The sequence below is a fragment of the Homo sapiens genome, chromosome 6 (genome assembly GCF_000001405.40).
Source record: "Homo sapiens chromosome 6, GRCh38.p14 Primary Assembly".
In the NCBI taxonomy this organism is placed as follows: domain Eukaryota; kingdom Metazoa; phylum Chordata; class Mammalia; order Primates; family Hominidae; genus Homo; species Homo sapiens.
The window spans coordinates 152,457,176-152,484,815 of NC_000006.12; the positions used below are offsets into that span (position 1 = coordinate 152,457,176).

A 27,640-nucleotide genomic window follows, 5' to 3' on the forward strand; every position below is an offset into this window, starting at 1 on the left:
TGCTATCAGTCATATAGTGCCACTTATTATATGCTAGTGACATTATGGTGTATCTAATGTAATATCTGCAATAAGCTTTACACTCAGGTATTGTAGCCTTCATCTTAAAGTGAGGAAGTTAAAGCTAATCAAAGCTTCCTAATTTGCAATATTAGATCTAAGATCTGAATATCTGTCAGACTCATTTCAGACACTCTCGGCTCTTTCTACTAATGATGCTACCTTCCTCCCATGAACCTATGTCAATTAATGCAGTGGCAAACCTTTTGTACATTAGTGTCTCTCTCCTCTGATGGACAGGTTCATTATAATAAACCAAATAACCCAATTAACTACAACACTCAGTAGGAGACTGTTATGCATACAATCTGTTTACTAAAAATGAGACAAAGAAAAATGATTATCACATCAAACACATTTCCAGAGTTTCAAGGTTGTTTAAACTGTCATATTTCAAGAAGCAAAGTAAAGATCTCATAAGTCAGAGGTTATGGATACTGGATGAAAATGGAAAGCAATTGTTTTTATTATATGTATATAAATATATATCAAATTATCTGTCTATCTATCTATCTATCTGTTTTCAAAGTATCAAGAAAAGAAGGCACGTATGCCTTTTTAAGTGAAATTAACCATTTCGTCAATCAGCAAGGCAGCAGGTAATGCCTAAAGCTATGTGTGGGAAGCAACAGTAAATGATTCTCCAAAAGAAAGTCAATATAAGAAGGAAAATATTATATCTGTATATATAATACAAATATTTATATATTTTATATAAATATCCTCTCTGTATAAGTTTTATACATATAAAATTTATATATATTTATCTTTTAGTTATGTAATGTAGAGACAGGATATTTATTTAATTTTCTTATAGTGTCTTTCTACTAGCAAACCTAGGGATCACGTTTCATGAACAAAGCCCATAAAAAGTTTAATGTAAATAAATTCTTATCTGTATTTTTAAAAGGATAGACTATATGTGGTCTATTGCTAGTAGGCAGGAACTCTAAGAAAAGTAAATAAATACAAAGCAGAGAAATAATAGAAAGTCCTTTGATTATGGGTACCCTTAATGTTTGAAGTTAGAGTGGCGGATTTGGCTCCATCTCTATAACACATCCCTTATTTCACAGAGACATTGTGAACTTTGCACTTTCTGTAGTTGGGGCTCAGGATGCATGGCTTACGCGTGCACACAGCAGATGTTTATAAATGCTTGCTGAGTATTGCCAGATCACAATGTTGCTCCATTGATAGAAAGGGGAGCTGGGTGCTCAAAACAAACCATTTTTTCTAACTTTGCTCAACTCAGTGAACTTACTGATTCAGATGAATGAGCCTGGTTTGCACCTGAGTCCAGCTAGACCATTCCCTGGAAACAAACAGCTCACATAGCCCCTGCACTGACAGTGAATGGATTTTCATCTTTGGACAAGACATGTATTTTTGTTTTGAGTTAGTAGTACTATTCTAGAAAAATGTTTCTTGTCCTCACTGAATTTCTATTCCTGTAAGCAACACCCTGGTCTTGTTACACATGCTTTAGAATAATTGTCTCCTGAAAAGGATTGTTCTCACCTGATGTTTTTGTTTAAAAAGGGCACTCGATTGTGCCTCACGCTCAAGAACTGTGATAATTTCATTGATTTTCCCAAGTGAGTCATAAAAGGACGTCATCTGCTTTTCTAATTCCTCCAACGGAATCAACAGCTGCTGAGACTCATAAAGGAGTGGGGAGTAACATTCTTTGACCTTTAAAAACATAAAGACAAAAATTCCATGAAAGACCATTAAGTGCCACTAGCTCAGGGAACGTTCATAGCTCTGAGGAACATTTTCTTTAGTGACATGATCATTTGGTGCTTACAAATATCCAAAGACATTTCTTTAATGATATTTCCTCTATATTGTCAAATTTTGCTGTGAAAAATAATAGTGCTGTACCACTGAGACAAATAAATGGCTACTGAGTTTTCTCATGAAAATTCATCTAAATCGTCCATCTGGATAGCACTTTCTCATCTAAATGATTGTTTTTAGTGAGCCAGATGGCATCAAATTATACTTCATAAACCATGCAACTCATTTTCACTTTGGCCTTGAAATCTGACCTAAGACAGTCATGAATTATTATTATATTACCTAGACCAACCTGTGTCTTCCAGCTTTGTTTTCAAGAGATCGCCTACTTGAACCCTTGACTGCTGATAAACTTAGAAACCTGTTGACTCACTCTTCCCAGACAGGCCTGTGCTTTCCTGCCTCCCACCAGCTCCATGCTTTGCTGCTCCCTGCTTATCAACATCCTACTCATCCGAAGCACTAAAGTCACACCAATTTATTCATGAAGCTTCCCATGCTAGGGGAGGGCTCTGTAGTCCAAACTGATGCAGCCCTTACCTGTCACTTGTCTTGTAAAACATGTTTTAGTTTATAGACCTGCATTGTCTTAAAGATGAGGCCACTAGCTCCTGGAAATCAAGAGCTCCAGGAGGTGTCTACTCTTCATCCTCCAAGAACTTCCCACCTCTTCTCATACTTTCAGATAACCAGGGAAAGGAAATTAATCAGTATTTGTTAGTAAGCCATTCTTTGTTTTTCATATAGTATAAAGACAATAATGTTCTAACCAGATGAGGCATATTCCAAAAAGTAATCCTTGAAGAAAGTGGGAGAGGGCAACATTTTGCTCTACTGTTAAACATAGAATTATGTATGAAGAAACGTTTTTATGTTCTAGGATATACTGCCTGAAGTATACACTCATCAAAAGAAAGTTACCATCCTGCTACTGCAACAAGACTCTGATATAATTACCTTGAACAAAACCAAGAGAGTCTACTAATGTGTATACAAATCAGTGTGTTTTATTGATCTCTCCTGGGTAGAAGAGAAAACCTATCAAGATGCTGCATCTGAAACAGTAAAAAGGCAAATGACAATTTGCTTTCTCAGGGGTTGTCCTGAACACCTAAGCATGGCTCAGGCTAAGATGTGCAAGCCCAGCTATGGCCCTGAAAGCTGCTGGGGAGTTATCAAATTGGAAATGTTGACTTCAAATTGTACTTATTGTTTAGCAGCTTTTACTAGTAGCCAATATTATCATTATTGCCCACAACCTTTAAATTATAAATAATTCTAACTTGAATGTTAAAATAAAATGAACTGAACATAAACATTCTCATACATACCATATTGATAGATAAAATTTTCTCTTTTTTATGGTCATGATTTTTCCTATTTTAGCTTTTTGAATGCATTCTTTTTCATTAATTCCCTACCACTGATGTCACAGAGGTTATTCTCTTCCTTTCTACCTTTCTTTCCTATTTAACAGGGTCTTCTACTTTGTTTCTACTTTGTTTTCCCATTCTTCATTTTAAAATATTTCCATTCATTTATTATAATCACTTCTCTCTTTTACTAGAAATTAATTACCCAATCTAGGTGGATTTTGCAAACAATACCATCTTCCTAAAATTCATATTTGGATAGATAACAAATCCCAATGGAACTTCCAAAGCTCTTAAGGAAAATCACTGAATAGACTAGAAAATGCTTATGACTAGTGCTTACATCCATCTAGTTCCCTGTACAGAAAAGGTATAAATGTATATAATCTTTTTTTTTTTTTTTTTTTTTTTTTTTTTGAGACAAAGAGTCTCGCCCTGTCACCTAGGCTGGAGTGAAATGGCGCGATCTGGGCTCACTGCAACCTCTGCCTCCCGGGTTCAAGTGATTCTCCTGCCTCAGGCTCCTGAGTAGCTGGGATTATAGGTGCACGACACCATGCCTGGCTAATTTTTGTATTTTTAAGTAGAGACGATGTTTCATCATGTTGGTCAGGCTGGTCTCGAACTCCTGACCTTGTGATCTGCTCGCCTCGGCCTCCCAAAGTGCTGGATTATAGGCGTGAGCCACTGCACCTGGCCTAAATGTATATATTCTAAGCCTAAGTGAGCTCCATGAGATGAGGAGGTCAGAATTTCCACAGCTTTGTGGCTATGCTTGCAGAAAATTGCACAAATAAGTTTGGAGTGGAGATATATCAAACAAATCTTAACCAATTCTCATTTAAATTTATGATCCCCTCTTCTTCCTCCTCCTCATCTCCTTTTTCTCTTTATCTCTCTTTCCCTCTCTTGGTTTTATCACATGTAACCGTTCCCCAAAAGTATCTAACTTTCTATTAAAATATAGCTATAATACTTCTAAATTAACAGAGGTAATACTTGGTATCAGCATCATAGTTTTATTTTTTTTAATTCATGACAAAGTTACTAAATTGAGAATCCCAATTAGAAACAAAAGCATCGTTAACAAGTAAACACTTTGCCCATGGGGAGAAGGAGGTAGCAAGCAAGCTGAAGGCACTGTTGGTGTCACACAGCCTATTGTGCATTAAATTATTTTCGCACCTTGGTTAGCTGCTCTTTGAGCTTTGACATGGTCGCAAACATTTCTTTTCCTTCTTCTTGGGGGCTTTCTTTGGTAATGAGGTGTGCTGTCTTTGTAATTATCTTGTATTGGGCATCCATCACAGGCACCCTCTGCTCAATATCCTGCATGAATCATTGAAACAGCCAGATTCATACATGACACATTTCCTCTTAACTTCCGGATTCCACAGAAGGCAGAACAAAAATCAATATGCACTGTATAAAATCCAATACTTACACTAAACTTTCGACGATTCCAGTTTTTGCTTCCCTTCATTACTAATAAATATTGGTAATATTATATAGTTAATAAAATTTTCCTTTAAAAGTGACCAAAACATCAAGATTAGCTGAAATGATCTTTGTACTTTCCAAAACAAATCCCATGTTAATGTAGTATGGAAATATAAAATAAAATGTAAATGTATATTTAAAATGTGGGGGAATTCTGACTTTAAAAATTAGACTGGTTTTCGTTAAAAAAAAAAAAAGTAACTCATTGCCATTATAAAAACTTATAAATTAGAAATATTAGGATAATGACAATTTAAATTACTTATAGTCTTCTCCCACAGTAAAACCCAAAGCCAACATCTTATCTATACATCATTAAGTTTTTTTTTCCTGTGTTTACACCCATTTTAAAATTTTTACAAAGACAAAAGAATGATACTGTTGTTTGCTTTTCTCATGTAACAATATATTGCAAAATCTTACCATGTCATTAAAAATTCTTCCACTACTTCATTTGTGAGAGCTGCAGGCTATTCAAAATATGCAAATACCACAGTTCATGCAATAAATCCTTTATTATTGAAAGTATTTAGGTGCGGGTGCTATCTATAGATGTCTCCTGTTTTTTCCTAATACTTTTTAACTTGGTTGTAGAAAAAAAAAATCTCCAAACTGAGAAACAATTTGAAGTTACTTTATATGATCAAGTCATGTCTTTTTTATGTTCAATACATTTTTTTCTGACAGGTGCAAATTGGGACATACAGACATGTCAAAATGATGCCCAGGAGACACAGAAACAGCTTTTGCAATGATCTGAATAAACTTGCTGATCTTTCCTCTCACAACAGAGTAGGCTTTTCATTTTGATTCAGAAACCCCTCACCTCCAAGTCTTGAATTAATAGCTTGACATTCATAAAAGAGACTTCTAAGGGTTCAGAAAGTTTCTTATGGGCTTCCGTTGCAAAAGCAGACAGGGTAACAACACAGTCTGTGTATTCCTTCTTCATTCTGTCCATCTCATCAGCTTGAGCATACTGTTAAGGAAAGGGAGGAGGGAACATCGTGAAAGCCATTTAGCTGCGACCACTGGAACCACAACTTTCACTTTCACATATTCGCTGGAATTGTTATCCGGTAAGAAAGACTCTAATCTTTGATTCTCATTTTAGATAAATTTGAAGTAAGTCCAATTAGTTTGAAAGAAAAAAAGAAACTAGCATGAAAATGAAGAAATATGATTTGAAACGAGAATCATTCCATATAAGTAGGCTCCATATGTCAACATAATCCTTAATCAAACTAATGCATTTGTGTAATATTCCTCCATTATACATGGAAAAGAATGAAGAACCAACCATAAAACACACCGGTTTTAAACATATCTATGCTTTGCCTTAATAAACCCGTGCTCTAAAAATAGCATTCTCTCTAAACAGACTACTTATCACATTTGTAACACATACACGTTGAGGTGTATATAGACTTGAAAGACATACTTGCTTGACTTCCATAAACAACTCCCTCCACCGCCCATTTAGCAACAGTAATTGCTGCTTCAGGTCACGGGAAACCATCTCATCACAGGTTTCAATTAGAAAATTGCCAGCATCGTTCATGGCAGTATGCTGCTGAATCCAATGAGGTAAATTTCGAAAAAAATCCTAAACAATAAATAATGCACAATATCATAAACCATAAACCAAATATCAGTGACTGATATGAAAGTGACTAAAGTAGGAAAAATATTTTTGTTTTAACATTCATGTGAATTTTAAGATAAATCACAAATCTCTTTAAAATGCACATTTTTGATAAAAAGTTTCAAAATGTGAGCTAGAGATACTGTCTTTTTTTATAAGAACAATTGTGCCATATCATTTGCCGAAGACAAAACAAAACATGATGACCATTTTCTGTTATTTCTGTTTTACAGATTAAAAAGCTGAATTTCTGTAAGTGTAAGAGACCTGTGCATAACCTTCAGGCTAGTAAATACCAGTGCCAGAGTCATATAAAAGGCATAATACATTAGGGAAATATATAGCTTCCTTTTTTATTTGTATAAATTGATGGGGTATGAGTACAATTTTGTTACATGCATAGATTGTGTGGTGGTAAAGTTGGGGCTTTTATTCCTTTTTAAAGAAAGAATAGCTTTCTTTAATAATTTCTTTTTGACCTGCTACTTTTGATTTTTAAATTTCAGTGTAGTACATTAAGATAATTAGCAATCATGGAGATAAACCATCGAAGCAAAAAATTTTAAATTAAATATCTGAGTCAAGAGCACTTAGTACAATAACACACTTTCTTATTTATTTAAGGGTTCCCTCTTGGCAATGAAACAGTTTCCAACTCATTTTAAATAAAGCGTATGTGTGCACACGCACACACACAACACACATCACAGTGAAAAACAAGGATACCAAAGATAATTCAAAATCCATTTCGTAAGCCTTGTGTGGGAGGACTTTCCTACATATATAAATAGATTAGAACACTTCTGTTTCTGGTGGTTATATTTCTTTTGATCAAATTAACATGTATGACATCCACTAGGGCACTGCCAGTCTAATCAGAAAAGCCAAAATCTGTATGGGTACATAGTTATTGCCTCCCTCAGCTACACAAGAATAGTTGATCTACATGAAATATGGAATGGTAAAACATTTAAAAGTGATACATCTACTTGTCCAAACAATAATAGATGAACCAATCTTGGATGGCATGTGGTAATTCTAATGCATGCATTTTTAGTATCACTTACATATAAATTGATTTTCCATGTAAAAATGCCAGGCTCCCATTAGGAAGTATATAAGCAGAAATCAGTCCATTTCATGTGACATTTACATATAAGTGACATTAACATAAAACAGTAACTCTCACAGGCACACACACATACACACTTATAACTGGCCAAAAAATAAATCACTCCTACCCAGAATGAGACCCTTGCTTGAAGGTTGATAAAATCCAAAACAGAATATCTAACGAGATACAAATGTCATGGTCCAGTTGTTCAACTGGCGTATGCTACCACATAGATCCAGTAGTATGTGTTTCAGCACTACGTGAAAACAAAGTTGTTTTCATCCTCTCTTAAATCAGGAAATCCATGAAGGCTGGGGCCCTAGACACTCCCCTTCATAGACAGACTTCAGGGTAATATAGTGCCCTCCCCTTTGCTGCCCATTGGATTTACTCAACCCTCCATCAGCTTCTATTAAGCAGTGTATTTATTGGTCTGTTGCTAACCTGAAAGTGCAACTTTTCAGGCAAAGTCAAGATTCTTGAGTGACACTTGTAAATATATGCGACCCCCTAGTGAGCTACGCTGTAAAAGTCTCTCATTTTTACATACATCAAACGTCTTTTCTTTTTGCATGAACCAATCTTACCTTTTTGGCATTTTCTGATTGATTGAGCATTTTTTCAGCATCCTCTAGCCAGGCTTGCAGACTAGCCACTGTATTGCCATAGCGATCCCAGTTAGAGATCACTTCTTCCAGCATGCTCCTCACACTCCTCACTTCTACTGAGAGATTCCTCCACTGAGCGGTGGTTTCATTCATGAATTTCATCACATTCTCAGCTTCTTCCACTGAAACAGATAAAACCAATTATAACCCTTATCTCATATTTTAAATCCTCTACACCTTTTTTTCTATGGTCTTATACATTGGTGTGCAATAGTATCCATCACAAATGCCAGAGTTCATTTCCAACAAATATGACAGACATAATTACAAATGGAAAACAAATGTATTTTACAAATTGTGTCTTTACACTAATTAATTTCTCATTTACTTGATTGGTAATCCTTAACGTATTCTATGCTTTTGCCTTTAATCCTTAGATGCAATTTAGAAAATGAATGCTTATTTTGTTCTCTCTTAGAAGAACACATACACACACACACACACACACACACACACACAATGATTATGCAGGTTAGGCATTGTACAAAGCCAAGGGAACTGAATCCAGTATGTGTTCTCCTGGCCAATGGCAAGGTCACTCAAAAATTCCACGGACAGAAAGAATGATCTGATCAGATAGAAACCTGCAGGCTCTAAATTCTACTGCAGTCTACGTTGCAACAAATTCTGTAGTATGTTTTACCTGAACCATCTGCTTTGACATACATCTCAGCTGTCTGTTTCAAGATCTGGTATGTCACCTCATATTGTTCAAAGAACTTGCTATTTTCTATAAAAGACTAGAAAAGGAGGAATGGTTAGAAGATAGCAAACATTAGGCTCATGTAGAATGCCAAAGTCAATTTTCTTCAGTATAGCTATAAGCACAGTTTACCCAAATTTGTTAATCTCAGTCTTCTTGAAAACATAAAATTAATTCCACTGCTACAAATTACCTAAGATCATTCTGAACACATAAATTGATTCCACGCTTTTGATTCTAACCCAGTACAGGACTGAGAAAATATTCTATTTCTTCACCAACCAAGGGTTTGCTTTTTGAAGAGACAGAAATTTCTCCAGAGAACTTGGGTCTAACATTTAGAAAGCACTAAATTTAGAAGAACATTTTAAAGTGTCCCACTGTGTCTCAGCTGCGGAATTCTGTTGCTCTTTGAACATTAATCCTGGTGAATGACTGCTCTGAGGAACTCCAGATTATAAATAAATGACGGTGCACAAATGCTTCCCTTAAAATAAAAAGTCAGTAGAAAAATTGGAAATAATTACATATTCTATCCATGTTATCAATGGTCTCACATTTCAATGACCTATTACAGAAAAATTGCAGTAAGACATGTTTATATATCTATTTGTAATTTATATATATAATAGAATCACTACTGGAAAGTGAATACTATAAAATTGAGAATAGACAAAAAAGTTCTTAGGTAAATGTTATTATTGTTCATTTTTAGGAATATAAAATAATGTGCGTTTCAAAGATTATTATTACTTCTTGAAAGTAGAAAATTAATGCAATTACAGTTAAGAACATATCACCAAAGGCTCTTTAATTTCTTGCGATAGTATAATGAGTTCCTATGATTTGAATCTATTAAAATACTTGATAAATGTCACGGTCATAAATACAAAATTAGCCTTCAAAAACCAGCTGAATTCTTGTATAGCACGCTGATGAATGCTTAATATAGAGATGCAAGACACTTGTGTGCAGAGGAAACATTATTCATGCAGCAATTTCATAGAAATCTCTGGATTTTTATTGATAACTGTTTTGAGATAACATTTTAAAAATTGTATCTATAACATATTTCATATCATTTTATGTTTATAAAGCATTTACTTATAAATTAACTATTCTTCAGGGATAAAGTGAATAGAGAAAGCTGGAATGAGAGGTTCCATGATGAATACTACATTCAATAACTTTAATTGGCTTTATTTTATTTGTTTGAGAATAAAGTCAGACAATAGTATTCTGATTAATTCACTATTTAGCCTTATATCTTCTTATTACAACCCAGTTGAGAAAAGAATAATTTACTAGAATTTAAATTTTGAATAATTTAACTAAACAAGCAATTCATTATTTGATCAAAAATGGAAAATTATACCTAATGTTCAAGATACTGCGTAAGAAATTGAAGAAATAATTATATTTGGCAAAGTTTAGAAAAGAATCTGCATTTAGTATTGGTACAAATTTCAAGAAGCTAATAGCAAAACAATTTTTCTAAGTGTCAAAGAAATGGGAAATAGTGCATGTGGTTCATAGGAAGACTTAAATATGCTTTTCCTAGAGAAGTTTACAAAATAATTAAAAATGAACAAGTGAGAAAATCTTATTTCCAATTTAATTTCTGGTCCACGAGGCAGGAAAGAGGGGAGAATGTTTTCAGAAAGAATGTTTTATAAATGCTGTAGACACTCATTAATGTATTTTTGAATTTGGCTATTAGGAAGACTGGATGATTAATTTTTAAAGAAAGATACCTATTTTGTATTTTAAATTTGTATTGGTCCATTTAATTTGGTCCTTTTTTTCTGAACATGGAGTAAATGCATTTAGCAATATGGATTATTTTATCTATTGAATCACTTTGGCAGAACTGCTAAATCTCCATTTTACTGTAAGCTATTTAGACACACCTGTCAGAAAAATACAAATGCATGTTTAAAATAATAATAACAAGATTCATTTATTTCTTTCAAAATGAGGTTGAAACTTGGATCCCAAGTTCAACAAATAAGCCATTTTAATCAGGGGACTTTTAAAGTTGATGGTGCTTCAAGAAAAGTAAATGGCATACTTATTTTTGGTATTTAACTTTAGTGTTAGTGACCGCATTTCTACTTTCACAAGATGAGTGTAAATATAATAAATATGAAGCTCATCAATTTCACTTGAATGCAACTATGCCAGATTATTCGAGATATTTAAAATTAACATTGAGGAGAGGTTTATCAAGACTATTTACATTAAAATATAATTATGAATAATAAAATGAATATTCACACTATGTTGCATTCACACAGTCCACAATTTCAAGAGCTGTTTTTTTTTCTTTCATGTGAAAGATTGAAATATTAGCCTCTTTTTTCCATGGTGAAATGGAAGCACATGTTTTGGTCATTGTCAACAATTCTGACAGCAAGGACTAAACCAATTACCTTTTGGTTTGCATTACAGCATGCAATCACTTACCAATGGCATGTGGCCTAAATTAATGATAGAAAGGATTTGTGAAGTATTTTCCAAGAATTCTTTAAGCACTCAGTGGCTGCATATCTGAGTTGGATGTACATTCTCTTTCTCTAACACTTAAAAAAAGTATTCTTTCTTTTTTGCAGGACGGATAAGTCTGAATTGAGAATTATGACTAAGGAAAATATAATTACGGAAAATTTATGGCCTGAATATTACTTTGGTTATTAGATGATGTAGAAGCATGTAGCTTATTATAATACTTTATTTTTATTTTTATTTTTTTGAAATAGGGTCTCACTCTGTAGCTCAGGCTGAAGTGCAGCAGCAAGATCATAGCTCACTGCAGCCGTGAACTCCAGGGCTCAAGCCATCCTCCTGCCTCAGCCTCCTGAGTGGTTGAAACTACAGGTGCACACCATGACACCAGGCTAAATTTTTAAAATTTTTTGTAGAGACAGAGTCTCACTATATTTCCTGGGCTGGTCTCAAACTCCTGGCCTCAAGTGACTCTTCAACCTAAGCCTCCCAAAGTGCTAGGATTACAGGTGTGTGTGAGCTGCTGCCCCCAGCCCTTTTTTGGGGGAGTGTGGGGGGTGTAAACCAAGGAAAGAATTGCACTTACAAAACTGACTTTGGTGATTTGTGATTTTATTTGAAAGTTTTCAGCCTCTTTGAAATAGCCTGTTCTATAATGAATGATTTTCCATAACACTCTAAAAGGATAAGAGAGGCTCTATGAGGTGTTAACATAGAATAAAAACAGTATATGTCAGTCTTTGTTCCCTAGAAAAATTCCTACCATTTCATTATTATTATTATTATCATCATCATTATCATTATTAAACACTGGGGAAAGACTAAGCCTTCTAGAAATTAAGTTATTCACAGACACATGGGTGCTCAGTAGCTAAACCATGACCAAACACAGTTCTAGTGGCTGGTATCTGCACTTCATCAGTTCCCCACCACTACAACCATGCTGCCTCATATATAACTAATAGCAACTATGAGGCTTTCACAGTACACTTACAGGTATGTAAGTGTAAAATATTGTCAGGTATGGACCAATATTAAATTGAACTGATATTTATGTGAATTACATTCTTTAGATCACTAAGACGTAAGATACCATATCAATGATTTGGTCTGTTAAGTTAAAAATTTTTTTTACAATTTTTTTTAGATTGTGATATTCAGCACTTAAGCTCAAGGGCTTTTGATTTGGAAAGATATGGATTCAATTTCTGATTCCACAATTTACCACCTGGAGCGTGTGCCGCCAGGAGCAAGTGACTTGAGTCTATGGAACCTCAGTGCTCCTGCACTGGCTCCTTGGTATCTAAAACAATGTGAAACCCCCAGTCTGTAGGGCCATCACTGAGATGAAAAATGATGCATGTAAAACACTTGGCATGTGGGAAATGCTCCATACTCCACGGTTATCAAAACTATTAAACAAAATTACCTTAAAACCCTTCACAGAAAAGAAACACGAGTGATAAGTAGGTATTCTTCAGTAGCAGATGAGAGTACTAGGAAATGTTAATTAAAGCATGCTACGTATGTAGGATAATCAGCAATTTTATGAATAGTTATGAAAGTTACAAGGCAGTTTGGAATTAGTAGCTGAGTGAACTTGATGAAGTAGGCAGGGAGTACTAACGTTTTTATCATTAATAATTGTTTATTCACATATCATTTGAGAAAAAGAGAATTATTAATATCATTGTGTTGGAACATTAACCTGGTGGAATAGTCTTATTAGCTGTTTAAATCTGATTGGCTGTTCTGAAATATCCAGAACAAAGACTGTGTCTGGTATAAATAACTACTGGGCTGAGAGGGTATCATTTGGCATGACTAAATCTGAAAATATACATGCATATTTGTATTTCATATTTGAAGAACTAACGTAATTGCTTGAAGCTTAAAATCAAGTTTTTCATAACTTTCCAAAACAACTAAAAATGAGTAAAGGAACATAACAGATTTTGCATTTTGGAACAAATGTTTCCTAGACAATTTTAGTAAATCTAGGGAAAGATTTTACTGTAAAGCAGTTAAATCATTTTTTTCTCAACTGTATGTTGTTCACCCGTCACAGAAAATGAAATTAAAATGTAGCAAAACAGATTATAGTTCTAAGATGCTTCAGTGAAAATATGGTTTCAATAAGTACTTCAAGCAGAACATGTTTTAGAGTCACTGTGACTAATCAAGTTACAAATGGGTTTATATTTTAAAAGATCATTGATTTATCATAGTATTTGTGTTTAAACATAAATGAAACAGTACAAGACTAAGATACTCTATTAACATTAATTTTATGAGCAAATTTGCATTGAAAATTAATTTGTAGGATGGCCATGTTTAATTAACTAAGAAATAACCTGTCTTTAGTATCTATAATACACTAATTACATGTAAGTGAAAACTGCTAGTTACAGAGCAAACAAATTCTTTCATCAATGCAGGTCTATGATTCTAGTAAACATAGAATTATCTATATTGATAGCCCAAAATGTGAGATAATCCTTAAAAATTAAGTTGGTACAGAGATTCATAGATAAAATGTTACTCTTCCAGGGTGCACACAAGAGGCAATGAAGCCCAGGGAATTACGGTAAAAAAAGACACAGTGGACACAATCTAAAAAAAATAGATAGTTCCCATTTGGACACTTGAGAATGGTTCTAAACTAGTCATAGTTGAATTTTAAAAGACATGAAGGTAATCTTTAAGTATTTTAATGTAGTTGAAATGGTGACCTCCAATAAAAAATGTGGGTATGCAATACAAAAACTTTTTTTAAAAATCAATAAAGCCAGTCAGGATGGTCCCATATGATTAATGCAGCAAAGCATTAAACTAAACTGAACTAGGGGATTTTAAATAATCAAATTCCAAAGAAATAGGTTTAGATTTCAGATAATTCTGAAAAGCTCATAAACTTGTATCTAACCCATTTAACACACGCTATCTTTATGTTTAAATTCAAGAATTAAAATAACAACATCAAAGAAACTGAACTGTGTTGCTAAATCCATGGCTCATAGGAATTCTCTGTCAAAGCACGGGGGACTCACCACGTAGTTTTGTAGAAGCTGCTCCACTGACTCTCTCCTCCCGTACTTAATGATCCAAGACTTCAGCTTTGACTCTGCAAGAACCAGCAGTGAGAGCAGACGGTACTTTAATTCTAAAAATTCCATTTTCATTAGGTGTAGCTCTGATGTGGAGGAAACAAAATGAAACCTAGAAATAAAACAGGGAGAATTTATAGAATGTAACTAATAGTAACAGAACTGATGCTTACTTAACCTGTTACATGTCAGCCTTAAATAGAATGCAGCCACAAGCTCTTCTAACTCTGGCTGATCATTTTCTGGAAATCCGATTCCTTTTCTAGCTCTGGATTTAAAAGCAAAGCATGAATGATTGAAGTCTTCGATTTAGTTCTTTCCCCTGCCAACACATCTCTCGTCTGTTTCTTTTATAAGCTGTTTTTGCAATATTACATAATGTTCCTTACAGTACTGAACAAAAATACAGCCTCTGAAGAAACCATTTCTGTGATTTCTAGGCTGTGGATAAATTCAGAGTCACTCTTTTCAGTTAATAATACATTAGAATGGTGGCATTCTTAGCATGTCTTATGGGAGCCCGCTTTCTATTTACCAAAGGTAGGCGCCTCTGTTAAAAAAAAATCATGAAAAAATAAAAGAAATATAAAAAGCGTCCACCTAGTGTTTTAAAAAGAGACTTCCTTTAAATGCAGATATTCTCTTACCTCTCGGCCATGTCCTCTAATTGATCAGGTGGCACTGGAATCCCGTTAACAGACCTGGTCCGGTAGATTTCATGGAATGCTCTTTTGTGGGCATCCGTGTTTTGAAGCAGATCCTAAGATACAGTTTAAAAAAAAATAAAAAATGAAAAACATGTTTCACAGAGGGCTAAGAAGCATAATTTCCAGCCCGCACCGATGAGTCAATGTATTCAACAATTTGATCCCGCTGCCACATTCAGAGGCAGCTTGGTGCCTGTCAAAGGCTCTTACCTTGAATAGGAGCTGGGTGCTTGTACTTAAAACACTATGCTGGAACTGCATCTAATAATTATGCATCTTTTAAACACACATGACACTTGCACAGCAATGCATTCAGACGTTTTAAAGGCACATGATCCAAAGGAAAATGTAATTACTGCTATGAAATGATTTTAGTATTTTTTGCCTTTCTGGATATGTTGGTTTTTAAAAGCTTAAAACTGAGCATGACAAATTGAAACCTTTAATGGCAAAAGAGATTAGGCTTTCTACTGTTATTTTACTTTGAATGCATGCAGACTATTATAAAGTGGTATTTGCTTGCCATCTAAAGTAAATCAATCATATTACAATATATTTTGAAATACCCTTTTGATTAGAAAATTTCAAACAAGTGCAGGGAATACCCCATAGGTAACACAGTGAGAAGATTAAATGTGATGTTAATAAATATTAATTATAGACTGTATAGAACTCCACAGGTTTGATTCATTTATTTAGGTTAATTTGAATCTTCTTTGATTTGTTTGCTGTGTTTTTCATCATTTACAAACTAATTTCTAAAAAGATGTACATGTATTTTACACTCCCTCACCAATTTCTCACATAGAAGCAAGGAAGAAGTCAGGTGAAAGGAGATTCATGCCTTAATTTCTAGAGCTTAGTTTGTGTCTTGATTGCAGAATAAATACAGTACTTAAAAATGTGTCACTCATTGAAAAAGTAAGACATATTAGACCACCAAAATAATACATTAAAATTAATATTTTTATCTCATACTAAAATTTAGCAAATTAGAGAAATTAGTAGCAAAACCAGCCTAAAATCAAGAGACACACTTGGTGGGACAAGTGAAAACTTTTCTATTATAAATTAAAATGTTCAGGTTTGTATATGCTTGCCCACATATGACATTTTAACATGGTAGAAAAACCTTAGGGCCAAACTATTTCTAACCTGATATATTTTGCTATGATCACATTTTGACCTGCTTTGACTCTGAAGGTAAGTGCAGAGATACTCACAAGTCATGTGTGCCTCAAGGGAGGGTATTATGTGAAGCCAAGAACTCATCACAGGAGGGTAGAGAACAAACAGGTGTTCTTAGAGCAGCTATTGATGATGAGTATTCTAGCCATTCTCTACCTCCTTTACCACACACAGACACATTACTGTAGCTTATGGTTGGGCTGAAACTTTCCCAAGTGACTGCAGAGCACACTTGGAGTTATCACCCCAGCTAGCTCTGATTTGTGACAGTTTTTAAGTATCTACTATATTGAAAAAGTCTTTACAAGCTACCCAAACAAAAACATTTTCACACATATGATAAAAGAAATTCTTAGGCCGGGTGTGGTGGCTCATGTCTGTAATCCCCGCACTTTGGGTGGCGGACACTGGTGGATCACGAGGTCAGGAGTTCGAGATCAGCCTGGCCAACATGGTGAAACCCCGTCTCTACTAAAGATACAAAAAATTAGCCAGGCATGGTGGCGTGCACCTGTAGTCCCAGCTACTTGGAAGGCTGAGGCAGGAGAATCACTTGAACCCAGGAGGTGGAGGTCGCAGTGAGGGAAGATCACACCATTGCACTCCAGCCTGGGCAACAGGGTAAGACTCTGTCTCAAAAAAAAAAAAGAACTTCAACAGTTGGCATGATGTCACTGATTCCTCTGAAAGGCCATCTCACTATAAAGCAGCTAGATGCTGGGCAAAATATATGATTTTAATTCACCTTGCTGGGTTCACAGGAAGTAAATGAAATATTTTAGGTCCCCCATTCTTAGTAAAACATGACCCAAAAACTAGATCACAGACCTGTAGGCAAAAAACAAATAGACAAATCCAGATTGTCCTGGGCAAATATCTACACCACTGCTGAGAGAGATTGAGTCTTACAATGTGAACAGGATGAGGACACTGAAATGAGATCTCCTCCATTTAGTCAGAACCCTCAATGAGGGCTAACATGGCCAGGTTATTAGCAAATGCAAATACAATAGGAGGAAAGCAGAGACCACGAACCACAGGAAACAAGCCACCATGAGTGAGAACCAGCAGAAACAACAAACTTATCATGCTAGAAAAATGTCAATAATTTAATACTTGACAACAATGTGTAAGATAAAAAGGACAGTGGTTTGGTTAAAGTATTCATAATTACTTATATTGATTAAGAGGGGGTTAAGATATGGCTAACTTTCAATTTTGTTAAATATCTAAGGTCAAATTTTGAGGGCAATCATACTGTACAACTAGAGTTTATAACTTTCTTGCTAGTAGAAATAAAACCATGGAATAAGAAAAATGAGGAAGGAGACAAAAAGCAAAACCTCCTTAATCAACTTATAAATAGCAAGAAAGTAGAAAAGAAGAAAAAGTAGAACAGTTAGAAAGCAAAGACTCAGATGCTAGAAACAAATTCAAGTATATCAATAATAATAAATAAATGTGAATAAAGTAGAAATTTACTAGTTAAAAGACAGAGATTACCAAATTGGACAAACAAACAAAACAGAACTATCTTCTTTTTACAAAAGATACACCTAATCATTAAGAACATGGATAGGTTAAAATTAATAAAATGGAACACATGTCAGGCAAATACTAAGAGAAATCTGATATAAATGCATTAATATCAGACAAAATGGATTTCAGAACAGAAGCATTATAAGTACAGTCACTCCTTGACTCATGATGGGGTTATGTCCCAATAAAACTCATTGTAAGTTGAAAATGTTGTAAGTCAAAAATGTATTTAATACGCCTAAACCAACCAAACATTATAGCTTAGCTTCACCGACATTAAATGTGCTCAGAACACTCACATTAGCCTACAATTTGGCAAAATTATCTAACATAAAGCCAAATTTTATAATAAAATGTTGAATATCTCATATAAGAATATCATATCTCATGTCATTGCTGAATGTATATTGCTTTTGCACCACTGTAAAGTCAAAAATTGTAAGTTGAATCACTATAAGTTGGAAACCATCTATAATTAATTGCATAAAGATTAAACTTTCAACTTACTAGAAGGTACATTATTCCTGAACTTGAGCATGCCCATTAAACTTCAAAATATATAAAGGAAAAACTGATAGAACTGTAAGGAGAACCTGAACTATCAACATCACTGTGGGGTTTATCAACATGCCTCTCTAAATGAGATAGAGCAAAGGAAGCAAGTGTTATAGCAGCTTGTTGGGTAAAGAAGGGAAAGGGCTGCAGGAATGGTCTTTATAAGAACTTGTGGTGTTTTGATAATGGAAGCCAACTAGGAATTTTGAGCAGATTGGTGAAATTATCTCAGCTGCATTTTAAGGATCACTGTGGCAATTCTTCTGAAAATACCCTATCCTCCATACGTTTGCTTCCCGTGGCTTCTAAGACAACACTGTAGCTGGATTTCCTCCAACTTCACTGGTTGCTCCTTCTCAGACTTTTATTGGTTCTTCTACTCTTCAATCTCTTAATACTGGATTCCCTCCAGGATCAGTCCTTGGTCCCTTTCTCTTCTCTGTATATACTTCTTTATTTAATTTATCCAGTCTCAGAGCTTTAAACATCCCTCTAGATGCCAATGACTCCGAATTTTTATCTCCAAGCTGTACTTCTTCCCTGAGCTCTCTTACCTATTGCTTACTCCACATATCCTCTTGGATGAGAAAAAGACTCAACATGCCCCAAGCTGAATTCCTGATCTTTCCTCCCAAAGCCGCTTCATTGTCTCCTATTCTTAATTGATAGAAACTGTTTTTTCAGTTGCACAGCCCCCAAATCATAGTGTCATTTATGACTCTTCTTCTTTCACGGTATGTATCTAATGCTGAAAATTGTTCTGCCCTCACAACATATTCAGAATCTGTCCATTTCTCACCATCTCTACAGCTACTTCCCTTGTTCAAAGCACTCTAACTGGATGATGGAAATGGTACCCTGGCTTCTGGTCTCCATTCCTAACCCAGTCTATTCTCACATAGCAGCCATATCATGAAAATACTGTCATTCCTTTGGGAAAAAAAAATGGGGCTGGGTGCTGCAGCTTATGCGTGTAATTCCAGCACTTTAGGAGGGTGGGCAGATCACTTGCACCCAGGAGTTTGAGACCAGGCTGGGCAACACGGTGAAACCCTATCTCTCCAAAAAATACAAAAATTAGTCAGGTGTGGTGGCCCATGCCTGTAGTCCCACCTTCTCGGGAGGCTAAGGTGGAAGGATCACTGGATCCTGGGAGGCAGAGGCTGCAGTGAGCCATGACCACACCACTACACTCCCGCCTCGGCAACAGAGCCAGACCCTATCTAAAAAAAAAAAAAAGAAAAGAAAAGAAAGAAATAAAATGGATGAAAAAAGAAGGTTAGAACATTGTGGAGCAAATCAACAATGCCAAAGTGTGATTAAGGAAAGTGAGGCAGTTCAAAGAAACAATATTGGGGAAATATACATAGGCACAGAAAACACCACAAAATATATAAAACAATATTCTGAACAATTTTATGCTAATAATTCTGAAGACTTAGTCAAATGCACACATTTTTAGAAAGTATGCATTATCAATATTGACCCAATTGCAATTTTGAGAGCCTGAATATGGGGAGACAACAGTGAAAAAAAATCAATAACTCCCACTTTTATGGAGTTGACATTATAGTGCAGAAAATCAAGCAAAAGATAAGATAAATGATTAAAACTGGTAACAGTTGAGATGATGATAAATGCTAAAGAGAAACATCAAATGGGAAAGGGGAAGGGGAGTTTGGGGGAAGTTGTAATTTCAAAAGAGGTGGCCAGAAAAGGGTGGATGAAGAGGGGACCTTTTAGTAAAGGCCTTAAAGAGATGAAGAAGAACACAACGGGAATATCAGTAAGAGGATGTTTCAGACTGAGGGATGAGAACATTCCAGAAGGATGGCAAGGGTAAAGACCTCAAGGTAGGGAATATGCTTGCCTGTTTGATGTCATCTTTTCAATGAGGCTTCACTGACAACCCTATTTAAAATTGCAACAACACCTAATATCCCATGTCCTTTTACTTTCTAACCTAAATTTACTTATTTTTTATATTTATTACCTTTATCTGCCTCCTCTCACTAGAAGGTAAATTAAGGGAAGGGATTTTTGTCTGTTTTGCTTACAGATGTATCACAAATGCCTAAAACACTGCTTTGCAACTGAGAAAGCTCAACAGATATTTGTTGAAAGAATAGGGAAGACCAGAAAGGTACAGCCAGGGGAGTAGGAAGGAAACTACAAGTGGCACAATCATAGCTTACCCACTGCAGCCTTTAATTCCTGGGCTCAAGCAATCCTCCTGCCTCAGCCTCCCGAGTAGCTGGGACTACAGGCATGCACCACTATGCCTAATTTTTTATTTTTATTTTTTGTAGAGACAGAGTCTCGCTTTGTTGGCCAGGTTGGTCTCAAACTTCTGGACTCATGTGCTCCTCCTGCCTTGGCTTCTCAACATGCTGGGATTATAAGTATGAGCCACCATGCCTTAAAGAAAGTCTTTCAAGGGTAAAGGGACAACTATGTGAAATGTTTGTGACAGGTGATGTAAGAAGACTGAGAACTGGCCATTGGATGAGGAATGAGGCAAAGCCTGGTAAACTTCACATGGTAGATGGCAAGATAAAAGCTTGATTGGAATGGATTTTAGAAAGAATGAGAGAAGAGAATTTAGAAAGAAGAAAGAGCCAATTCTCTCAAAGAGCTTTGCTGTAAAAGGAAGGAAGAAAATTGGACAGTAGCTGGGAGGGGAAGTGGGGCTAAGAAAAAGACTTTTAAAGATGAGTTAATGGCAGCATATTTGTATGTGGATGAGTAAACTCCAACAAAGAAAGAAAGAGAAAAAAATAGAGAAGGGAGGAAGGACAGGAATTACCTTTTGGAGAGAGGGTGGGATCTAATGTACACATAGAGAGGTTGGCCTCGGCCCAGAGCACAGATGGTTCACCCATAGTAACAGAAGTGAAGAGCGTGTATTCGGGCACAGATGCAATTGCGTAGGTGGGTTGATGTGGCCGTGGGAGCTGGTGGCAATTCTTTTCTGATTGCTTCTATTTTCTCAAAGAAAAAGGAAGTAATGTCATCAGCTAAGAGTGAGGATGGGGAGGAGGTGTGGAAGGTTTGAAGAGACAAGATATGAAATAGTTGTCCCAGAAATGAAGAGGGAATGGAGTCGGGAAATGCCTTCTGATTGCCAGGCACCATTAAGGGCCCACTTGGGTTAGTCATCGCGCCTGGGGGTGTGTTTTTTTCCAGCCACAGTCAGCTACATGTGTGTGGGCATGAACTAGGCAAAGAGCTGGCTTTCACCGGCATTGTGTTTTTACCAGGACACTAAAACAAAGTGAAATACGGACAAGGCAAGCGAGGATGTGGATGAGTGGGGCTTTTACATTGCATTTAAGCAGAGCACAAAAGGAGATGGTAAAGAGAACAGGATACAGTGAAAAGGTGGTAGGGTAACAGATTATAGGGCACAGAGGAGATGAAGCCTTGTCTGACTGGAGAGGAAGGTACTTGACAAAGAGCTTGTGGAGGGGTCTCATTTACTGGTGATGAGCATTCTAGGCTATGACTGTGGAGTGAGTGGCTAGGGTTGGGTGTAGGACAGGATCCTGGGGGAAGAGGTCAAGAACCTGAGAGGTCATGATATTGGGAGGATCATCTCTAGGTTACTGAAGTTATTAAGAATTATGACATGCATTGTCATCCAGGAAATAAAATCTTCAAGAAAGGAAGGCAAGTGACCTAGGTAGGGTTGGTAACTGCAATAAGGATGTGTAGCAGGTGGCAGAGCCTAATGGCTACTTTCATGATTCCTTATGACTGAAAGCCTTACTTTGCCAAATCAATACTAAGAATAATAAATTAGTCAGTATAATCACTCTACAAGTATGATAAGCAATAGCTTTGTGGTCACATTTTAAGCCTAGTGCTGAAGACAACCTGGCTCATCAGCTATGTGACCTTGGGCAAGTCACTTAACCTCTCTCTGCCTACACTTTCCTCATCAGCAAAAAAGGATAATAATACCTATCTCACATCCGTCATGTTAAGTGTTTGGTAAAAATCAAATACTTAGGACTGAAACATGGTTAAGTCCTCCATAATAGTTGGCTATGGTTATTGTTATTTTTCTAGATAACTGAACATTAGGGTAACTGGAAAATAGAAAAGATAATACAGGTACACTATGTTTTGCAGAATACATAAGTTCTTACACATATATACATATATACGTTAATTTTTCAGAAATAGTAAAACAAAACCACTGGCAGAACCATTCACAAAGTGAACTCTCGGAAACACACCTTTAAAAAATGATCTGAATCCAACTTGCAAACGTTGCCTATGCATTAAGTGTTGAAATTGTGTTATTTTTTTAAAAGGTGTGAAGAATGAAAAAAACCAAGCATTGTAACTTTGATAGCTTGTTCAAGTTTTCTTGACAAAAACCAGAATTACTTTTTAGACCAAGATGGGAAGACAATATTCCCAAACATTCTTGATCATACATCAATGATTCCTAAATTGTGATTTTCCCAATTTATTGCATCTCCAAGTGAGCCCAATATACCAGCACAGAGGTGTTACATCAAATCGAGAGACTGAGTTGGTGCCATTGAGGAAACTTATAATTTTTAGTTGTTTTAATAAGTCAAACTTGGCCAGGCGTGGTGGCTCATGCCTGTCATCCCAGCGCTTTGGGAGGCTGAGGCAGGCGGATCACTTGAGGTCAGGAGTTCAAGGCCAGCCTGGCCAACACGGCGAAACCACATATCTACTAAAAATACAAATATTAGCCAGGCATGGTGGTGGATGCCTGAAATCCCAGCTACATGGGAGGCTGAGGCAGGAGAATCGCTTGAACCTGGGAAGAAGAGGTTGCAATGAGCCAAGATCGCACCATTGCATTCCAGTCTGAGAGTGACAAAGCGAGCCTCCATTTCAATAATAATAATAATTCAAGCTTTTCACCCTCAAAGCTTAGCTTATTATAGGCTCCTAATATATATTTTTCAATAAATGAGAATTGATTTTAAAATTGACAATTTAATTGTTTTATGAGCTACTTTAAGTACCCATGCCCAGGCCTAGTAGAAGTTCCTACCTCAATGAAAAGATCATTCTAATATTCACCTTGAACCTGGCCTGAGCCCCTGTCGCTGCTTTTTACCTTTATCTCTTTATTACATTCCTTAGTTTTCTCTTCAGTCTAGTCCTTTCTGGGTTTTTGTTTGTTTGTTTGCCTCAGATAACCATTTTCTCCAACTCCTGCCCCTCTCTCTCTCCCTGATCCACTTCATTTCTGGTTTCTATGCTTTGTTCACTAGACTTTGGCAGAGAGATTGTTCTAGCTGTATTCTTGGGGGTTGGCACAGGGTGTCTCTCTCTCACTGTCTCTCAAGGGAGCTAGAAGGGCTCATGAAGGGCCTGAAATCATATAGCCATTGAAACACACAGATAGCATGTGCATTGGCCAACTTAGGACTCACTCCCCCGTAGGAGATACTACTGTCTATAGTGTGCCTTGAATTAATATTTCTACAAACTGTTATAATTAACTAGTAAATAGCAGTTACATTGTCTGGCATTTTCTCTGTGGTGGGACATTTAAGTCAAAGTTAAAGGTATTATACAAAGAACAATTGTGTAGATGCTTCTCAGACCTCTAGATTGGAGGCACCACAAACGCCTGGACCTCGTCTGTGCCCCTCACCTGTTGCCCTGGAGCTGAAAACCTGCACATAGTAGGAATATTTGCTACCATGCCTATTTGCTGAATTAACGTATTTAATTCTCAATAAATATACATTCTACATTTCATTTAAAATTCTAAGTTGACTTCTTTAGTATCAAATATTTACATCAATTAAAATAGTTTCATATGTAGGTAACAGGTACACTAGAATCCTAATCCCCACCATTATGTAATATACTCATGTAAGAAACATGCACATGTACCCCCTGAATCTGCAATTTAAAAATAAATAAATAAACAAATGCCAGTTAAGGTAAAAAAATAGTTTCAATTAAGTTTTCCATGAAAAAATTATTGTGTGTTATATATGCTTAGTTGCTAATTTGCTAAAGATGTTATTGTTTGTGTAATACTATTTTCACACTTTTCTCTATTTTTAATATACTGGGGTGATTCAAAATTGACATGGCCCAGGAAACTGATTCAATCCCAGGAAAATTCTTGTGACTTGATCTCGTATGAGGCCTGAACTCTGGGTCCCTTACGGCATAGCTGCCCCCACTTTAGGGCACTAAGGCACAGATAAGCAGGCCCCGCTTTTATTTGTGAGTATCTGCACAGATGAAGAAGACCCCAAAGTCATGCTTGCATCTGAGAAGCCAAATGACAGAGAGTTCAGTGTGTGTGTTTGTCTGCGTTGGTGATTGGGGGAGGAGAGGAGCTAAGAGATCATCAGCAACTTTAAAAGTGTCTAAAGGCACTGAGTATCAGAAAAGGCCAAGAGGAAATGGAGGCAGGACCCTGAGTGATGGCCTCTGCAGATCATCAAATCTTGCCGTGGCCATCTGGTTTGATGAGCTTGTCTGAGGTTGAGTCTGTCAAGTTGAAATGGCCAAGATCGGCAATGGCATCACATCTCTGTGTCTCTGTATATCTAGCTCCAAAAGTAAAGCCCCAGAGAGGCATAAAATAATAAAAGGCAATAAAATCTGTTGTAAATTTGCTTTATGATCTTGTCTAGAATACAGGACAGTGTATTTCCTTGGGGTAATTTTTCAAAAATATCAATAATTTGGCAGAAAATATACATGGGCTATACATTGCCCATGTGTAGTCAGGAGTAGAAATCTCTATTTTTCACATATGCAGGAATACCCCACCACATTACAGCAAATGAAGTATACAAATTCAATTGCATAAAATGCAAGATTGCATTAATGTGATGTTAATGAAAAACGGCATTTTTAGTTAGGCCTGTAATATCACAAAACACAAAGAGGAAATATATTGGAAATTATACCATATACAACTGATCATATACTAAGTTTAAAACATCCCAAATGACTAAGAGACCATCAAAGCCTAACCCCACCACTTCCTACAGCCTCCATTCCTTCTACCCCCACCCCACAGCACCAAGACATAAGAACTTCTGCCTGCCTTCCTTTGAGAATGGAGGCAGAAATGAGGTCTGGAGCCAATGGCCGGCCACATTATTATGTAAATGCATACCATCTATGCTTATCTTTTGAAAAATAATATATAACAACAGAAATAACAAAGATAGCTGCAGATGAAAAAAATACCACACAGGTATGGAAAATATCTCAGGAAGTCAACCCACTGGAACCGTCATTAACCAGTGTAAGAAAGAAACAATCAAATTAGAGAACTCTAAGAAGGTGTGACGTCTCCGATCATGTAGAATTAATATTTGGGGCGTCCCCGCCAGAGCAGGTTGTAACTAGGCTACCTCTCCAGACCACAGTAGGGCTGTTATGCTGCAAGGTTTTCCAACCAGAATTTTTACCTTATGTTGCTCAAGTTTCCGTTGTATCGTGTTTGCTGTTTCCTCGTGGACCTGTTGAACGGTTATTTCCTCTCTCAGGGCCACCTCCGCTCTGTACAGCCAGGCACCTATGGTGCCCAGAGGTGCAGGAAGAGATTTATCAAGCTGTATATGCCAGTCAAAGAGCTAAAATTTAAAAAGCAGAAAAGTAAAATATCTTTAATACAGATGGCAATTTATAAAATTGCACCCAAATAATAGTAAAGCATACATAAAGCTTTAAGTTAATGATTTCAGGCTAAGTTAATAAATATCAAATAAGCAAATGTCTGTGTTCTGAGTTTGACACTTTAGGGATGGGGAGAAAATTACAGTTAAAAGCAAATTTTGAAGAAACTGAAAATACATCTTAAACATGGAAGAATATTATCAGAAGTGTAAGCAATTTTCCTCTTACAGGAGTAGCATGAAGCACCCACTGATTTTCAGTGTGGCTTTTGCTGAAAGGGAAGGGATCAGGTTTGGTGACATGCTTGGAGGATGCAGCAGTTATACACCTGGCACATGTGTATCTTGGTCGTCGGAATGAGAATCCCATTAAAACCTCCCACGTGATCAGAACAAGTTCAGAAAAATGAGGATTATCTAAGCAGCTCTGGACAAAGATGGGTTTAAAGGATTCTTTCTATAATCCTATGATTGTCTACCCTTCTCTCCATCTCTTCCATTTTACCCAATTCTCAGACACATTTCCTAGCTTACTGGAAAGCCAGGTGGGATGAGTTGAGGTGCTTAGGAACTAGCCTATTCTTTAATGGAGTCACTAGAAAAAATGAGACTATCAAAAAAAAAATTAGGCTGGGTGCAGTGGCTCACTCCAGTAATCCCAGAAATTTGGGAAGCCAAGATGGATGAGATGCTTGAGCCCAGGAGTTTAAAACCACCCTGGGCAATATAGTGAGATCTCATCTCTACAAAAAAAAAAAAAAAAAAAAAAAATTAGCCAAGTATGGTGGTACATGCCTGTGGTCCCAGCTACTTGGGAGGCTGAGGTAGGATGATTGCTTGAGCCAAGGAGGTTGAAGCTGCAGTGAGCTGTGATTGTGCCACTGCACTTTAGCCTGGGTGACAGAGCAAGACACTATCTCAAAAACAAAATAAAATAAAGTAAAGAATATATGGTAAGTTCAAGACAAATATTCTTATTAGTGATAGAAGTGTTCCAGGGGTTTGAAATCTTGGCCTTTAAGCATGAAGAATATGAATATGAAAGATACTGAGCAATTTTCCTTCAGATTCATGATCAGATAAAAAAAGATGCTTGAATTAAAGAATGCAAAACTGTATGTCAACACAGGAAGGTCATTAACTGTTGATGAAACATGATTTTAGAATACAAGAAGTTGCTGTGGCTCTACTCTGGAGAATCTGCTACAAGACCAGAGAGTCACCTCTTCTAAACCACCCAGAAGGAAGTTGTGTAAAGTGTGAAGTGATCCAGATGGTCTCAGGACTTTAATCTATCATCTAGTTAATTGCTGATATCACATAGAGGGAAGCCAAGGCAAGAAAATAGCTGTTAAACCAAAGACTTCCATTAACTTACAGGAAAACTAGACAAGGAGGCAAAGATTCTCCCATAGTTAAGTCTTTCTAGCCTCAGACAGAGGCAGTAGAACCTGTTGCCATACCACTGTGTAGAAATAGATGATGAAAAATATTCTTTTCTAAATTTATTAAGCTCAGTATAAC

At 36.3% G+C, this 27,640-nt stretch overlaps 1 protein-coding gene across 49 annotated transcripts in view; it reads right to left on the reverse strand.

The window, feature by feature from the left end:
- SYNE1 (spectrin repeat containing nuclear envelope protein 1) overlaps window positions 1–27,640 on the reverse strand; it is a 515,676-nt gene that overhangs the window by 335,489 nt on the left and 152,547 nt on the right. For 45 of the 49 annotated variants that reach the window (XM_047418508.1, XM_017010610.2, XM_017010609.2 and 42 more), the window contains 9 exons: window positions 25,910–26,074; window positions 15,126–15,238; window positions 14,422–14,590; window positions 8,807–8,903; window positions 8,083–8,285; window positions 6,178–6,342; window positions 5,563–5,715; window positions 4,422–4,565; window positions 1,582–1,755 (listed from right to left, as the gene is read on the reverse strand). In XM_047418508.1, the coding sequence (XP_047274464.1) occupies window positions 1,582–1,755; window positions 4,422–4,565; window positions 5,563–5,715; window positions 6,178–6,342; window positions 8,083–8,285; window positions 8,807–8,903; window positions 14,422–14,590; window positions 15,126–15,238; window positions 25,910–26,074 (1,383 nt within the window). Of the gene's footprint in view, window positions 1–1,581; window positions 1,756–4,421; window positions 4,566–4,680; window positions 4,722–5,562; window positions 5,716–6,177; window positions 6,343–8,082; window positions 8,286–8,806; window positions 8,904–14,421; window positions 14,591–14,651; window positions 15,239–25,909; window positions 26,075–27,640 lie in introns of those variants that run through there. The other 4 variants (XM_011535643.2, XM_017010619.2, XM_011535644.2 and 1 more) reach the window with 4 other exon arrangements.